At 38.9% G+C, this 19,465-nt stretch overlaps 1 protein-coding gene across 2 annotated transcripts in view; it reads right to left on the bottom strand.

The window, feature by feature from the left end:
- The window catches only part of SND1 (staphylococcal nuclease and tudor domain containing 1), a 440,400-nt gene that overhangs the window by 264,846 nt on the left and 156,089 nt on the right, over positions 1-19,465 (bottom strand). The gene's annotated exons all lie outside the window — the stretch shown is intronic.

Below are 19,465 nucleotides of genomic sequence, written 5' to 3'. Positions count from 1 at the left end.
AATGGTTAAAACTGACAGAAGATTATAAAATGAAATGCCATATCAGATCTAATAAGTATTTGATTAGTGACATCTGCTATAATTCCTGTGAATATGCATCGTGATAAACATAAGAATAGAATAAATTAAGTAATATCCAATGATAAGTCTGGGCTAAAAAGTCTAGAAAAACAATCCATAGTTAATAGGGCTGGGGAGCGGTGGAAAGATACATCAATAACATCTACAATGACAATACAAGAGTTATTAATCATTCACAGAAGCTAAACAATTTGCCCCCAAATTATGAAAAGGGGTATTTTGAAAGAGATGTGAAATATAAATTGCAAAGTCATAATTTGCAATTAGGCTAGGTTATAAAACAGTAAACACAAAATGTATCTGCATAGGAAAAATTAATTTTAAAAAATGATCAATATTTAAATTTTTAACGATTTAATTATTGGAAGATTTCATTTTAAATTCCAACTCTTAATTGGTTAAGTGAGCTTTTAAGGGATAAATTAAAATGAAAGCTTTACTTTAAATCAGAATGAAAAGGGCCACAGTTATCACCTAGAGCACTCATACACTGTAAGAGAAAACAGATTCAGAAGTTATGTGGCTTCCCCAAGTTTAAACATCTAGTTACTAAAAGAGTTATAACTAAGATCCTAAATATCAGAATAATATCTGAAGTGCGAGGATAGGAAACCACGTAAAAGGTATAGTATCAACATCATTTCAATAAAGAAAGTCTATTTTATGCCTGGATTGAACTTCAGTCTGGAAAGGCCAGCCCAAGGGCCTTCCAAGTTGGAGTCATTTTAGAAGCTACCCTTTAAAAGAAATGAATGACACAGGGAGATGGCTAAGAGGGTGGTCCACAAGAAGACTGACATACAGAGACCTCCAAATTCTGTTAATGACTCTGGCTCTCTCCAAAACTATCCACTCTACAGCTATACCTCTTGCTGATCTATATAAAAGCACGTCAAAAATTTTAAAAATTTAAAAAAGGGAGTATTTGTTGCTATGTTGTTTTAAAATAAGGGAATCATAAATTAATCATTAGTACCTAGGCTAAATGGTATTTAAGATAAAAAAGGGAATGAAATTAAGGTTTAATATGAGAGAAGTAAAACCCCAGGAAACAAAAAACGTTGACTTTTTCAATGAGATAAAATACAAGGACATAAAAGGATGGGAAAAATCTATCAAGCTTCTTAAATGACCAAATCCTATGTAAGAAAGTGCTCAACACTGTCAATAAATAGACATAGAAGATTTTTGTCTTTAACTCTTCTAATCTTTACATCCTCTCAAATCTAGATGACTATAATTTTGTAGGGCTTAGTGAATCTAGTTGATACCAATATACAGTATGGCTTGTTTATTAAAACAAAATAAAACCACATCACCATAGTTCAAAAAAAAATAAGATGAACATACACCAGTTAAATAAATTATATACTCATGGAATAAAATAACATAAAGCCATTAAAATCAATACATAAAAGTTTATTTAAGGATGTGAGGAGATGTTCAGAATCCACTGTCAACTTTATTTTATTTTTGAGACTGAGTTTCGCTCTTGTGGCCCAGGCTGGAGTGTGGTGGCGCAATCTTGGCTCACTGCAACCTCCACCTCCTAGGTTCAAGTAATTCACCTGCCTCAGCCTCCCAAGTAGCTGGGATTATGGGCACCTGCCACCATGCCCAGCTAATTTTTGTATTTTTAGTAGAGATGGGGGTTTCGCCATGTTGGCCAGGTGGTCTCAAACTCCTGACCTCAGGTGATCCACCGCCTCGGCTTCCCAAAGTGCTGGGATTACAGGCATGAGCCACCACGCCCGGCCTCCATTGTCCATTTTAAAAAAGGACACACAGACAGATTAGAATATAAATGTATAAGTGAAAGAAAATACACCAAAATGTTATTTGAATTACTTTTATTTTTCCTTTATACTTGCCAAACTTAGCATAATAAACATATATTGCTTTTATAATCAGAAAAAAATACAGAAGAGACATGGAAGATATTCATGGTTCAGGTATGTTCTGGCCAGGTGCGGTGGCTCACGCCTGTAATCCCACACTTTGGGAGGCCGGGGTGGGCGGATCACCTGAAGTCGGGAGTTCAAGACCAGCCTGGCCAACATGGCGAAATCCCGTCTCTACTAAAGTACAAAAATTAGCTGGGCATGGTGGCACACACTATTAATCCCAGCTACTCGGGAGGTTGAGGCACAAGAATTGCTTGAACCTGGGAGGCAGAGGTTGTAGTGAACCAAGATCATACCACTACACTTCAGCCTGGGCAACAAGAACAAAATTCAGTTTCAAAAAAAAAAAAAGGTGGCCAGGAGCAGTGGCTCACGCCTGTCACCCCAGCACTTTGGGAGGCCAAGGCAGGTGGATCATGTGGTCAGGAGATTGAGACCATCCTGGCCAACATGGTGAAACCCCATCTCTACTAAAAATACAAAAATTAGCCAGGTGTGGTGGCATGCGCCTGTAGTCCCAGCTACTCAGGAGACTAAGGCAGGAGAATCACTTGAACCCGGGAGGCGGAGATTGCAGTGAGCCCACATCGCGCCATTGCACTCCAGCCTTGGTGACAGAGCAAGGCTCTGTCTCTTATTTAAAAAAAATATATGTTTTAAGGTAACATTAGTAACTGTCATTTCTAAAAAGCAGTGACACATATATTACTGTCAATAAGGGAGATTAGATTCCCTACATATAATTCTCCAGCTGGCTTGTAATCAACCCACCAATTTTTATTCGGTGTCCACATGTTTCTACTCCCTTTCAAGTAACAAAACTATTATAGTTGTACATACATTCCAGAAAACAGACCAAAAATTTGGCAAATACACCATCTGAGGTGGAAGACAATGGGGTTAGTCACAAAGAAGATGAAGATTAGAGGTTTGTAAAGCTTTCCAAGGTCAGGAACTAAGAAAACAGGATGGTAAACAACAGCAAAATGGTTAGAACTACTAAAAATGATGACATTCCACTGCTCATCAAGTATTTTTTAAAGCAAGCTGAAAAAAAAAAGAATGCATGAGGAGTCTCATATATGTGCAAACATTAAAGGAATACTCCATCTTTTTTTTAGCACTGGGACTGCTACTCTTGCTGAAGTGACGGAAGAGAAGAAAAGATAAAGTAATTGGGACAATGAAAATGGATAAAGATCAGAATTTTCATTCTAGGCTATACAGAGCTGAAATGGATCCCAAACCTAATTGCTTCAGTCCTTAGAATAAACAACTTATCAAGAATCAGGTAGCAAGAAGGAAAACCACAGAGGTGGCCTTGAACACTTGTTATGTCTCCAATGAACAAGGAGAGAAAACAGATTTCATCTACATCACGGAATATGGCTTATAAAAACAAAATAAAACCTCAATACTTTCCCAAGAACAAAGCACCAACTGCCTTTCCTTGAAGAATTAAAAGAACTGGTAGATAAGTTTTCTGAGATGACAAATAACACTATTGCTGTGGATGTATATAAAATCAGATTTTTTTCTATCACCTAGTGCAGTCAATATGCACTTAATTTTGAAAGGGGTATTATTTAAAATCAGTGGAAACTTAAAGATACCACCATGGGAAAAGGATAGTATAAAAATATAGCACTGCATTTACAAAAGTAGTTATTTACTTTTTTAAAAAGTTTGCCTACATTTTTTAATAAAGCAGCATTTCTGCTTCATTTTGTTGTCGTCATACTCAATATTTAATACCAGCGCAAATCCTTCATTGCTTAAGTGTTGACTATGATATGAGTAAATAAAATGCATCACTCTATAACATAAATCACAACAAATCTCTCTTTCACTTTAAATATCAAGGTCACTTTAAACAAAATATGCTACCTATGGGATTAGAAATAAACTCACTTTATAATATTATCTAAATTTGATCAATATCTGAATTCGCCAATACCTCCTCAATTAAGTCTGACTTTTAAAAGCAAATATGTCAAAGTGAATAGAAAAAAAAAAGAACAGTTTGTAATGCTGGATTAATTAATTGAGCGTTCATTTGCAGAGCTCGAAAATGTTGAGAGAGGCAAGGCATCCAACATTTGTTCCTAACTGATGATCAAACAAACTTATGGTTAGACAGGTAAATTCAGGGGATTGAGAATCTTTAATTTTGAGCTTTAGTAAGTCTGAGACTTTCAGAGAAACTTGGATTTTAAAAAACCTGCTGGTAGGGTGCATACTTTGCCCTTTCTTTAGTTTCTTTTGGGTCACAGTAAATTAAGTCCCCCTGAGATGTCCCGCCAATTCCCATGGGAACCTTACCTGGTTGTGAAAAATGTGTCAAGAAACTCAGAAAAGAAGGAAATAAGATGTTGAGTTCTCTCCCAGCTCCCCCTTCCCAAGGCCATTCCCACTTCCTCCCAGACTCATAACATCCTAGTCAGGGGAACCAAGCACCTGGGAGGGAAAAAGACTTCCTAAAGAGGGACACGCAATAGACTGTAATCTTGCTGGACTGGTTTTGAAAGCAACTAGGAGGTGTGGGGGTTTAAGGGAAATAAGGCTGGCTGCCTTCTTCCTCTTAAGAACTCACTCTGTATCTCCCCCAACCACACTGCTCACTTTGCTCATCCCCTTCTGTCTCTCACTCAGCCTTATCAGGACCCAGAACTAGTTCATTTTATTTGTCATATTGTGTACTGCTCTCTGTTCTTAATTTTCCTAAACCCTGACTCAGTAGTTTGCTGTTATCGATTACGCTCTTACAATGTGCCCAAGCACTGCACTAAATGCTTAACGTATATTACCTCATTTAATGGTCATGACAGGACTGATTTAGGTAATGCTACCCCAGAGATTCAAACTCATGTCTATTTGGTTTCAAAGTCCATACACTAAACCACTACAAATAGCCAACAACAGGATATTGATTAAACATTCAATGATATTAAATGATAAAGTACCTCATGTAGAAGACTATTTAATGACATGGAGAAACCATCATATTGCAGGTTACAAAACAGTAAGTAACATATAATTACTAGCTAAGTTGAAAATTATGCAAACACAAGTGCATTTAAAAAAGGATTAGAGTAATACACACTCAAGTATTAACAGATGCTACCCTGAATGGTAGGGGTTTTTTCCCTTTATCTTCTCTTTTTTTCAAAAAACATTTTTAGAATAAACAAGTGCTTTTATGATTGAAAAAATGAGCAGTAAATGTTATTTAAAACAAAACAGCAAAAAAAATGCAGTATCATAAACAAAGACAGAATGAACAATATCACCAGTATTAGTAGAATTCACAGTTGCATTTTCAAGTAGGAAAATTATGGCCATAGAGAAAACTAGACTAAAATTTTACGGGAAAGTTGCAAGCTTTCTCTAAGTTGTACAGATCAAATATGATAATCCTTTACTACTTGTAAGCACATAGAATTGAAACACAAATGCAAAGACACTATTTTTGGTGGTATGTATGAAATTTAAACTTATTTATGATGCTAGTATATGTGTAAAAAGGGAGAATACCTACCCACAAACGTATCTTCCCGGGTAGGCCTAAAATAACCCTGAAAGGACTTACAAGGAAATCGTAATACTAATTGCTTCTTGGGTGGTAAAATGAACCTGTGAAGGACTAGGGCAAAAGAAAGGTCTCTAACTTATACCCTTTATTAGCATTTGAATTTTAAACCAATTAAATGCATTATCTACTCAAAATAATAATTAAAATAAAAAATGAATACATAAGAGAAAAACCTTAAAATGATATTGATTTCCCCATAAATAAAAATGTCTAAAAGATAAAAGGGATGTTAAATAATTCAAATGTCTGCCCATTTTATATAATAGCTTGTCAAAAAATAACCTGTTTCCATAATGGCTTTCCTGCCAAATGACGTCAAAATGTCTGTTTCGGCAATAAAACAACCAAATTCATTTACTTTCTTGATTTGACTTTTAAAATCTTTAGAAGAAAAATTTTTTAAAATCACTGCTTTATCCATATATGTGCTTTCTACGCAGCTATTTTTTTTTTAACACATCCTTTCTACATCTATTTTTAAAATGTAAAGAACAAGTTATGTTACATAAAACAAAAATTTTTTAAAAATTATATCTTCCTGGCAGTTTAAAAACTAAATTTAAAAAAATCCTGTAAGGAAAAGTACCTTTGCCTGACCACAGAAATCATCCCAATGTAAAAAGCAATCCCTGAAAGAAACAGAAAAAAACAAGGACACAGAGAAATCAATCCTGTACTGGTACCCATCAACCTGGAGACAACAGTTGGAGAGCAGAGATGATGACATGGAGTCCAGGAAAAAACAATCCAATCCAAAGGTGAATTACAGAAAGCTGGGTCATCCAAGGAAAACAACATACTCTGAAGCAGGTCAGTGTTATCCAAACAGGTATTTTTTTGCTAACTGAAACAATGGCCAAGCACCCCGCATGCTACTTGTGCCTGGGGCAGCATCAGGCTACTGCATCATTAGAGCACCCAGCAAGGACACACATACACTGGCCCATCAACTAGAATTCCTCAGGAAGGGAAACCTGGACTAAGAGGAATGACTGGCACAACATTTTCCTTGTCCATGTTTTCTCTTTTCCAAAAACAATGGAAAATGACAGTTAAAGAAGGCAGAGAGTTCTAAATGTACTACACAATATCATCTCGCTGAGAACATTCTGAGTGTTCATTCGGGAGGATCCAAGGCCAACAATAAACTGGAACCATCAAGCAAAAACTTAAGCAGACCTGGCTCAGAGAAAAGCTAATACTCTGTCAACTCTGGTACTCAACCAAGCTTCATGCTGCTGGAAGAAGAACAGAAACAAGAAAAAATGGCATTTAGCAAATCACTTTTTCCTTGCTAAGGTCAGAAAGGTCCCAGGGATCCACTACAACAGCCAAGTCAGACATAAAGGCAGATGGAGCATACACATTGGAAAGTGAGTGCTACTACAAGCTTAGCATTTTGACAATTTCATGTTGGAGGTCTAAGAAACTTTGAGGAGGAGGAAGGAAAATGGAAGGCAGAAGGAAAGGGGGAAAAAGGAAAGATAGAGAGGGACAAAAGAAAATGAGGTTAGAGAGAAAGAAAGGAAGGGGAAGTTTGTGTCTGTGACGTAAAAAAGACTATCAATTCTACTTTCAGTCTCTGAATGTTGAGACATCATAAATCTATCTAGACTTAGTGATCTTATTACCATTTGCCCCTTGGAAAGCTGTGATTAACTACACCAAAGCAGAAATACCGAAGAACAGCAACATGACTCATCTTTGTCTTTGATCTTCAAAAACTCTCCCATGCTGTGGAGTTCAAACTACATGCTGCTTTGCTTCCAAACTGCCGACAGCAAGCAAACTCCACCACTAGCAATAGGAGAAACTAGGGAAAAATGTGAAAAAGCACCTGGCTAATGTCAAGAAGTCAATCATTCTGATGGCACTGGATTCCTAAAGCCATTATTTCAAAATGTAGTGAACTGACAAATGACAGAAGGAAACCACCACCAGCCCTCAAATGAGAGAAAACCATTGGGAACCACACATCTTAGAAAAAGAGGAAACAATTCCTTTCCCCAGTAACTAACTGAATTGTAACCCCAGCCTAACCACTTAAACATTTCAGATAAAAAGATCTGCTTTGACCCTAACCTGGTAACATAAGCAGAGGTGGAGAAAGAATGAATTCAATCTCCTAGCTTGTAGGGGTTGGGAGAAGGCGGGCATAATGGGTGATTAAGATAATTAAAGTCACTGCACAGAAACAGTAGAGATTTACATTATAGCATTCTCAGCAAACAGGCCTTTAACAATCAGTGTTCACAGTAAGTTCAAAGAATCACCCAGTGGCCACAGGACTCAGGGGTTTGTGTGTGACACATAGCCATCACATCAGTATTCATCAAATTCACTGATATTTAAAATAAAACAATCTTTGATGACAAAAAGATTAAACTTTTGGAACCCTAAAAGTAGTCCAATCAATGCAAAACCGGGCAACAAATCTTCAAACGGGTTTATGAAATGATCTTCAGAGGTGGCCTGCTGGTTCCTTCTGTTTTTAGAGAGGGGTTAACTAAGGGCCAAAATAGAAAGCGGGTGAGGTGAACAAAGACTAGATGCACTTCAGGCCAGGACTCCAGACTCCTGAATTTTTCTACCTCCAGCCCATCCTACAAGGTGGGGCCACCTGCCTCTTTATGGTGGCCCTCCTCAGAGTCAATACTAGGAAAACTACATTTTTAAAAGTAAATGTTGTTAAGTCAGAATCTGATTAGAAATACCAGGAAGACAAATTGAGTCTTTCTGGATACCTTAGTAAGATCATCTTTTTAGAGGGTAGAAAAAAGTATCCTTTGGATATTCCAAATTAAGAAAATGAGGAACAATGAAAGAAATGAATTCATCCCAAGTGTAAGAATGTGATGATACACAATCTTCAACTGCATATCTTCCTGACTCTGAGGTCACTGAAATGTCTCATCTCTTCATTTTTATGTAGCCTGACAAATTTTGGACAAGGCTGCAGGTCTGCATTTGAAGTACTAACTTCTATAGTTCCACCCTGAAGAAATAAAACAGTTCCTTCCATTTTGCCCTGCTCAAATTTACTCCTAATGTGACTGTTTGCTTACATTCTCTCCCTATACTATTACAAACACAAGGAATTAGAGGTGTCAAACATGATGTCCATTTTATAAATGAAGAAATGGAGGTGTCATAAATGCAGAGACCATCAAATTATGATTTTCTCACTCAAATGTTGAGAGATTCAATCAGAAAGCTAAAAAAGCCTCCCCAGCTCTCTAGCTGCACGTGACACCATCTCACCAAAACATGGTCACCTAAACTTCTAATCAAAGACCAGGTCACCTCTGTGACTTTCTCCCTTCCTTTCTTCCATTCTTTACTTCTCCTTTCCTTGCTTTTCTTTTGGTGTCTTTTTTAAATAAATGGTGGTTAAAAGTTTGGAGATGGTGGAAACCGAGCCTGGTGGAGGAAACTCTGCTGTTTCACTGCCCACCCTGTGCATCAAATTCTACTAGGACAGGCTCTGAGGAGCTGGGCTCAGCAGCAACCTGCCAGGCAAAAAGGTCCATCATACAACGCACACACAGCAGAGTGGAGCAAGGCACTGACGTACTGACTTCCAACTCATTTGCACTATTACTGGGGAATAGGAACATTAAGAATCCCAAGCCAGGGGCTGAGAGGGAGATGGGAACAGCAGGGTTCAGTCAAGGTCCATCAACCTTAAGTTACTTAGAACTTTAAAATAATAATAGAGAATTCAAGCCAAAAAATAGTATTTATTGCCTATTAGTTGAGTAAATCCTTCTGTGATTTTTAATGATGCACAGTTTCAATAATGAAAAAGACACAGAAAAGCCCCAAATCAGACCTACAGTACTAAGGAGTGACTGCTCAGCTTCCCTCATGAAGACTTCACACTAGGCAACAAGCATGCTGCCAATCAGATGGAGCAATAATCCAACAATTTCAATTCACACATAGCAAAACAAAAGAAAACATATTTATCCAACCTATTTTTAAGGTCTTGGTTTGTATTTCAACCAGACAGTACTTATACCTAAAGTCTCCCTGAATTAGGGCTCCAAGTCTATATTATTATATAACAGTATGAGGAAATTTAAAAAGCAGGTGACAAGGAAACCATTTCCCCAGCTCAGAGCTATATGACAGGCCTTCTCCATATCCAAATCTTCCATATGACAAAGCAGAGGACAAATCCCACCCCTTCTGTAAAGATCTATTGAGGATCTCGACGTCATTGTCAATGTCAAGCACAGTCTTAGGAACTGTGAGCTGATGAAAAGACAAGAGAGGCTCTTTGCCCTATAGGGGTGGGGAGGAAGGTCAGACCTGGGAACTACTACAACAGAAAGGGTCACAAAAATATTATCGGAGGACAAAGAACACCAGACTTTACATGGGGAACCAGGAATACAGAACAGAGGTAAGATTCCTGACCAAAAAAAAAAAAAAAAAAAAAAAAAAGTATGAAGGAAAGAAGTTGTGAAATGGCTTGGCATGTCCATGGAATGGTGAGAAGTTCTTTGTGACATATTATGTGGACAGCAATGCCAGAAGTCAGACTGGAAATGGAAGCAAGATGCTCACTTGAAGTTACAATATTTTATATACAGCTGCCTTTCCTTTGCTTTTTATTATATAATCATTTAAGGAATCAGATTTTTTTTCTGCAGGCAAATGGGTATCAGCAGAGTTGGTGACGTGGTCAGGTCTACGCATTTTGAAAGCAATTGTGATAGTAATCTGCAAGATGGCATAGACAGAAGAAACAGGGCAAGTCTATAAGCAGAGAAAGAAGTTAGGAGGGGAAATATTCCTATTCCTAAGAGTCAGGGTTATGACTGGAAGCTGAGACCATTAAATACATAAGGTCACCCAGCAGGTGAGACCTCTCCTATCTGTGAAAGATAACCACAATCAGTACACTTCGCATTAATATTTATCAAATACCATCAAGTGATACATTTCTGTTGTCTTACCAGTTATTCAAATCTGTTCTTATTCAACTTCTTATACAACAGATGTCATCTCACTCCAGTTAGACTGCAAGCAACTTGCAACAGAGATGATATTTTATTCATCCTTACTGCACCTCTACAAAGGTACCCAACAACTATGTGTGTTTTCTAAAATATTAGTACTATAAAAATAGGCTCTATCCCCAATGCCTTGGCACAGAGTAGCTGTCCAAAAAATATCTGCTGAATGAATAACAAAAATGAACTAGCTAGGTGGAGTGGCTCATACCTGTAATTCTAGCACTTTGGGAGGCCAAAGCAGACAGATCACCTGAGATTGGGAGTTCGAGACCCCTAGCCAACATGGTGAAACCCTATCCCTACTAAAAATACAACAATTAGCTGGGCTTGGTGGTACATGCCTGTAGTCCAGCTACTCAGAAGACTGGGGCATGAGAACTGCTTGAACCCAGGAGGCAGACGTTGCAGTGAGCCAAGATCGCATCACTGCACTCCAGCCTGGGTGACAGAGCGAGACACTGTTACAAAAAAAAAAAAAAAAAAAGAGTTTGAGAAATGAATTGGTGTTACTAGGTTACTTGTTAACGTATTAAGGCCTTCTTAACATAGCAAGTGTTTACACATGACCAAAGCTTCAGGGACTGAGTTCTAAAGAAAATAAGCACACCAACTATTGAGCAAATACCTTTCAGAGGACTTGCTCTTCAGCCCAGCCCACTTGTTGAAGCCAGAAGAGGTGAGAAGGCAAAGCTGCAGAAAAAATATCTTATCCAAAAAGGCCAGGTTAAGGAGAACACCTGGGATTCCTATAGTTACTGAAGAAAATTCCTGCACAGTGCCACATAATGCTCTATGTAAAAGAGATAGTGTTCCAGTAGACAGTCTTGTGCTAATTATTCTTAATGTTCTATTCATCAACCTTGAATGGGATGAGCACGGCTCACCAAGAGCTCCTGCCAGGAATGATTTCTCCCAGGGTGTGTCATATTTCAAAATGCTGCTAATTACTAAGTAGAAGTGATGGAGGCCCTGTGACTGGGATGGCCATGAGACAGGGCAGCCTTCTTAAGTGGACATCAGTGTTCATGCTTCAAGGAAAGAAAACAGGACACTGGTTTGGAGGTAAGCCTATGGACAACACTGGAAATGTGCTTGGGTGTATCAATTCCTCCACACCAACTGTCAGCTGGTCTGCAGGAGGGAAGGCATTACCACCCAGGAGGAGTATTCACAGAAAGAATAAACACAAATAAAGGAAGTAAGACAAAACAGGCATGAAATCGGAGATGAAAGAATGCTGACATTATCAAACCCTATCTCACAGATTACTTGGTAAAGAAACTAACTACTGAAGTAGAAACCCAGAAACAAGAGGTTCGGCCAAGAGTCAAGTGGCCAGATACAAGCTAAATTGCTTTCCTAGGGCTGCCATAACAAAGTACCGCAAATTACCCCCTCAAAATTCCAAAAGCTCCAAGTTGAAAATCAAGGTGTAGGCAGGATCATTATACCTCTAAAGGCCCCAGGGAGGTATCCTTCCTTGCCTCTTCCTAGCTGGTGCATCCTGGCAATTGTTGGCATTTCCTGGCTTGTAGCTAAAACCACTCCAATTTCTACCTCCACTGTCACATGGTCTCTTTCTCTCTGTGCCCAATACTCCTCCTCGTCCTCCTCCTCCTTCTCTTCTTCTCCCCTCCTCCTCCTCCTTCTTCTTCTAGAGTTGGGGTCTCACTCTGTTGCACAGACTAGAGTCCAGTGGCATGATCATGGTTCACTGCGGCCTCCAACTCCTAGGCTCAAGTGATTCTCCTATCTCAGCCACCCAAATAGCTGGGACTACAGGTGCAGTCCACCACGCCTGGCTATAGATCGTCTTCTTATTAGGATACTGGTCAATGAATTTAGGGTCCATCATAATCCAGTATCACTTAATTTTACCTTAACTAATTACATCTGCAAAGACCTTATTTCCAAATAAGGTCACACTCTAAGGTTCGAGATGGATGGGTATTCTGGGGAGATGCTGTGCAACCCCACTACACATATCATCATGAAAACATCAGGAAGGACTGTCCAAGCTAGCAATACTCATGGGATAGAACTGTTACACTTTAGGGATACCTTAAGTTTTGCCAGAAGAAGATAACTGCTCAGGTAAAAGTAAAAAAAAGCCAATTCTGGGTGTCAATAAAAATAATTTCTTTCACATAAGAGCAAAAAGTATCACTCAGATTTTAAATACATTAAAACAAGGGGCTCATTTTTTAACTTACAACTACATGACCCAAATTATGAAGATGTAGCCTTTAAAATATCACTTCTATCACCCAACTATAAAAAGTCGACAAATTTCAACCTTAGAACCAACAGACACTTGTGCATCCTACCTTCTCACACGCAAACAAACTGTTTATACCCTTGGGAAAGAAATATTCAAGCAACCTAAACAATTAGCCCAACTTTACAGAGCATAACAAAAAGAGATCCACTTACATAGAAACCCTGGAATGTTGGTGCTTTCCAATTGGACTCTTTCTGAATGATATGGGTTATTTTGCAGATACACAAGAAAACGTTTTTCTCATTAGAAAATTTATATCTAGTATCCCTACATAGATCCTTGTAAGTGGACAAAACTGATCGTATGCTGGAGAAAAAAATACTGAAAAAAGATAGCAATAGTCAGGTTTCCTTTCCAAATGAGCACATCTGCATCCAGCCTCACTTCACACTCGTCTACAACATAAGATATTCTGCACAGTATCATCAAGCCCAAGCTCAAAAGAATCTATTCTCTGTAAACCAGGAGGTATAGGAAGTTGGAAGATTTGCAATTCAGCACATTTTATAGGGTTTTTTGGCACATAAGGGTTATTTTTAAAGTGGGAAAAAAAGCCTGTCCTCTCCCTACCCCCAAACACAGCTGAGCTGATTCAGCACAAATCTCCCCTAAAATAAAATCTTGGTTTGCAGAGAGTAAGCATGGAAAGTTCCAGCCCCAAGGACGACATTTCAGAAACCCAGCTGAAAAGATCAGGAGTGGGTGGCTTAAGACAAGCCGACCACAAATCATGTTATAAATATGGGAACATTCACCAGAAAAATATGAGCAACTTGGGAGTCCAAGTAAGAAAGTCTTTAATAATAAGCAAATTAATATAAGAGTATATCCCAGAGATATGAGAATCTCGAGGATTCTGGTAGCTAATAAATCATTTCCCTCAGGTGAGCATACGGAAGAAATTTCCAGGAACGCAGTTGAAAACTCTAGCTTCTTCATTTAACTTAGAGATGCTTTTTAAAGAGGATATTACAACATACATCACACAAATAACACACTTCAAGGCCGAGCGTGGTGGCTTACACCTGTAATCCCAGCACTTTGGGAGGCCAAGGCAGGTGGATCACCTGAGGTCAGGAGTTTGAGACCTGCCTGGCCAACATGGTGAAACCCCATCTCCACTAAAAATATAAAAAATTAGCCAGGTGTGGTGGCAGGTGCCCATAATCCCAGCTACTTGGGCGGCTAAGGCAGGAGAATCACTTGAACCTGGGAGGCGGACGTTGCAGTGAGCCAAGATCCTGCCATTGCTTGCACTCCAGCCTGGGCCACAAGAGCAAAACTCCATTTCAAGAAAACAACAACAACAACAACAACAAATAACACACTTCACCAAAGAAATGTGTGCTCAGCTCAACACCCTGATAGTCCTCAAAGAACAGAGGTACTTTTCAGAGTCTGCAGGGAAAACAACAACAACAACAAACAACCAAAAACTCATTATCGAAAAGACCATTTAGGTGGCAGCAGGAAGAAAGCTACCTTGCTGAGCTTCCAGAAACAGGCAACTCCAGTCATTTCTGTTAATCAACCTTCTCTTTACAAGAGAGCTCAAGAATCAAGGGGTAAAAGATTAGGATCCTTCCCAAAACCCAAAGGGTAAAGAGCATCTAAAATGAAACATGGTCTCCAATGCATGTTGACACATTACTACCACTTCCAAGTGGGAGAACTCTTCCTAGAAAAATGCATGGTCGGAAATTACAAGTCATTCAAAACAGCTCTCAATTTGGCAAATATCTTCAGTCATTTGTTCAAAAAATTTACAGCCACACCGAACAGCTGGCACTGAGGAGGCAAGGACAAGCAACCTTGTATAAACCTGTCAATTTAAATCACAATGCATTCACAACCTTAGGGCCTGCTTTGATCATTAATGTAAAGGACTTTTCCATAGCATGAATGAATCAAATTAATATGAGGTGAAAAATGTGGAGATGACAAAAGAAATGTTTATAAAATCCAAACTTAAATAGAGGTAATTAGGAACAAGAATCCCCAGAATCCCAGCTTTTTGTACTTAACACAGCTGATTAGGTAACACACTGCAACAGACAGAACACAAGTGTTTTTAAGGAAAAGCACAACCCTGATAAATAGCCAGGGAGAAGGGTGGAGTCCTCCTCAGGAAAGCTGTGTGCCCTTGAAGAGCTCTCACTAGCAGAGTGAAAAACTGGTCCTGCTAAGCAATGTTACTCCCGGTACCTTCGGAGATCTATTCTCATACAGTGGAACAAGCACCTACAGTGCCCCTCAACTTCTCCGTGACCCTGTGCCAAGATAAAAAAAAGCAACACCTGTCCTTCCTTTCTCCCTGATGCTCCCAGAAGTCACACCTATGCCAAGCGAATGAAGAGAAAGAGAAATCAAGCTTCAAAATTGGCTTAGCAATGTTATCGAGGACTTCACATTGTCTGTATATTTAGGCGAAGAACATGTAATCTGACACTGCTTTCTCTGAAGAACGACTTGATGAAACACAACTTCACAGGGACATCTCAAAGACTAATGAGATACTGTCTAGAGGGCTAAAAGCACTCTGAAGGCAGATATACAGTGCTATTACCACCTCCTGATAGCCACAGACTACCTGAAGAAATCTACTTTCTTGCAGCATGTAAAGGATGTATTATATACAGGAACAGACATTATTCCAAAAATACCACGACCCTGTCTATATCTGACTCAGTATACACAACAGAGAAGTAAACATTTCTAAAAGTCTTTAATTCAGCATAGCAATTAAAAGCATTGGCATCTGAGTAAAGTACTTTTCTGTGGGCTCCAGTTTCTTTACTTGTAAAGACCAGAACAACATGTAGATCTTGCAGGGTGGAGGCAAAAATTAAAAGTGAAAACAAAGTTCTCAGAGTTCAGTGCTTACTATGAAGAGAGAACCCAATAAACAGCAGTCCTAACCCTTGAAGATATAATCGGCATTCTATCAAATGCTTTACCAAAAAAAATAGTCTACTTCACAGAAGAAATTTCAATGGCATGAAAATCATAAAATGGTAGCCACCAAATTACAAATGAGCCACATCTCCAAAACTCTGCTTAGACATTTAGAATATTTTATTTTATTTTATAGAAACAAGTCTATAAACAGTAGTTGGGTTGCCAACCTAGCTCACAGAAGCACATTTACCCAGAATAGAGATAATATCATTACATATATTAACCATTTCCAGATTGATTTTGGATTACTGATACGAGGAGGTAGTCTAACACCCTGATTCTTGTGGCAAAACCAGTAGGAAGGCCACATAGGAGTCCAGGCTAGACGAGATATAAGCAAGGTAGGCGCCGTGCACTGGAAAGGAGGAATCATTCAGATACATATCCAGCAGAAGTGGGTGAGGGACTGGAATAAGGGTGTCAAAGATGTCTGATAGCAATAGATAATGGGGTAACTCCCATAACACCGGAGGAGAGCCAGATGTCCACCAGAAGATCAAGAGATTAGTCTTGGAAATTCTGGATTTATAAGTCTGGTGCACATGGAGATCATTTCCATCTCCACACCCTAAAAGTACATACCTCAAGAAAGACAGATTTTGAAAAGAGAACAACAATCTAAGGCAATCTGGATTTGAAATAACTCACTAAATGATTTATAGCCCCATAACTTCCCAAATGTCTGCACTGATCAAGAAAAATGCCCAATTCTAAGTGCCTAAAAAGAGCTGGGTTAGTTCAGATAACAAATTTCAATGGCATGAAAGCCACAAAAAGGCTGCTGTTAGTTTACAAATGAGGCTCATCCCCAATATTTGCTCATCAAAAGAAATAGTAAAAGGGACATTAAAGCAATAGGCATATATTTTCAGGACAGTCTCTGATGATAGAACAGTTTACAATGAGCATCTACTGTCAGCACAGAAGCTTCAATGCACTCTGGCTTCTTACAATTCCATCTTTTCCATCATTTTTGAAACTCCAGTTGTCCAAACAAATTGCAAGTTTAAATACAATGGTTCCCATGGTGATAGAAATTCTGCAATTAAGGGACAAGAGCTATAGAAATGACTCATATGTCATTTTAAAAAACTGTATCACATGGATAAACCATACTGAGTCTCAACTTTAGATATTTTATAAGATAGCTGGAGGGAAATCCCAATGAAGATCCCAGTTACTACCTTATTCTCCTGAAAGCAAAATGACTAGGGCAATGCAAACTGATCTCTAAGCGTTAAGGGAAATAAATTATAAACACAGAAAAAGATTGCTCCTGCTATCAGAAGAAGACCACAGCCTAAGGACACCAGTCTCACCATCGTATTCACACAGCGAGAAAATCATTCTGGAAAACCAGAAAACATGTTAAAGTTATTACAAATTCCATTTCATGATGAGCCTGTGAAGAAATTAACACAAAACTCTTTGCTGTGAATATTCCTTAGTCAAGATTTTAGTGAAAGAGGGCAGATGGTAAACAGGAGATGGGAAGAGAGTTCTACTAGGCAGTATGGCAATTGAGGGAGTTTCCAAAATGCTTCAAGGATACACACAGTATTCTTCTACCACTCTCTCAATTAGAAACACACACATACACACCCTTTAGCACCAGCACATACTCATCTTCTGAAAGCTAAAGCCCTCATGCACATCTAATTAAATAACACTGGAATTCATGCAATGGGTTGAAAAGGCAATAAAGTCAGCAGAACCAACAAAGAAAGGGAAAAATACTCCTTATGATGTCAGATTAGTCGCACGCTGATGCACTTCTCATAACCTCAGAACCAGGAATATATCATAACTGAAAAAGTAGGGCTATGAAAGATTCTATATAAAAACAGTATTAAGCAAAATCAAACCATATACTTTACTGGCATCTGGACAAACATGAAATACTACCATCATCCTATATTCTCATAACTCAACTTCATGAGAGAAGGAAAGCAAGTAATAGTCCCGGTTCACAAATTACGAAACAAAGCCTCCAAGAGAAGTATGGGTAATTTAATTAAAGGCATTAATCCAGAATTAAATCCAGGAAGTGAATCCATTTCCAAAAACTAGGATGGAGGTCATCAAAGCCAACAAAACACCTTAGCAGTTTACCTTCAGTCTTATTTCTCTGCATTCTAGCAACTCCTCAAAATTGTCATATTATGGAATCCCTGAGAAGGTCAAATAATAGTCTAGGCAGAGAAGATGATTTTACCTCCATTATCTTTCTTAAGCTGTGACAGGCTGCCCTAATCAGCTTTCGTGCACACAGGCACATAGATACACATGCTCCCTCGTGGTGCCTCTTAATCACCATGTGCCATGCTGAACAGCTGCAGAGGTCTGAAGGGAATTGGTAGAAATGTGCAATGATGTGCTAGCCACTCCCCTGAGGCAGCAACTGCCCTGCCTGCTCCCAGACGCCAGAGTACATGGGTGTTCACTGTGGCAAGTGACAGGCCCAGAAGACAGGCAAGTGGTTTCAGGTGGTGAGTCAGGAAAAGCAGTTTGCATCAGGAATGTTCCAGCCCAGCAGAGCTGAGTTGCATCCTACTCACTACTCAGGGATACAATATTCATCATTTATACAATGTCACTCTGGGGAACAAAACTTGAGCTCAGCACAAATAGAATACAATCAACTCTGTTGCACAGGAACCAATAAAGGAGGCTTCTCTCACCAAGAGGGAACCTAATTGATTAAGAATTGACTCCATATCTGACACTGGAGGTTAGTCCTTTTATCCTGTGACAGAGCACTTTACAATGGCCTGGCATACAGTTCTTGAGAGCAGAACCTTGGTCTAACCTTCCAAGGCCATTAGCAGCTGCTGCAATAAGCTATGATCTATGGTCCCAGGGATGAAACAGAATCAGGGTTAAGGCAATATTCAAATAAACCAGGTGGATGCCATAATACACGCCACACAACTGGCTACACACGAATCAGATATGTGCTGCCACTCCTTTCAATGTGATTTTAGATAAATTTCAATAGAAACCCACACTTGTGAAGAAATTCCTTGGCTATCTGTAAGCAACTGTTTATAAGCCAGTAAATGAGCGAAATGATATCAACTTGGTGTAATAGAGATGTCAGACATTAGATCAGATAACAGGAGATCTAGAAATTGAAAGAAGCTTAAAGCCATCATTCGTACTCCACCTCATGAATGAATACAGCATGCTGTCAAGTTTTGTACAATGACAGATGAACCTATTCTCTGAAGAAACCTGAGTAGATCGAATACTCATTTTTGAGAATCCAGTTTGGTTTCTCTTCCTCAAAATTAGCAATTTTACCTTATGTCCAACTTCAAAATCTCTTACTATAATTATCATCCTAGTGACTATGGTATACAATAAAAATGGTTGTATTTATAATTAGGATACACCATTTTGGTATTAGTTCAAAAGTCAGAGGCTTATTAAACCTGTCACAAGGCCGGGTGCAGTGGCCCATGCCTGTAATCCCAGCACTTTGGGAGGCTGAGGCGGGTGGATCACTTGAGGTCAGGAGTTCAAGACCAGCCTGGCCACCATGGTGAAACTCCGTCTCGACCAAAAAAATACAAAAATTAGCCAGGCGTGGTGGTGCATACCTGCAGTCCCAGCTATTCTGGAG

Source organism: Homo sapiens, chromosome 7, assembly GCF_000001405.40.
Source record: "Homo sapiens chromosome 7, GRCh38.p14 Primary Assembly".
Classification (NCBI taxonomy): Eukaryota; Metazoa; Chordata; class Mammalia; order Primates; family Hominidae; genus Homo; species Homo sapiens.
Note: the sequence above shows the minus strand (reverse complement) of the source record. Positions and strands in the feature narration are given on the sequence as shown.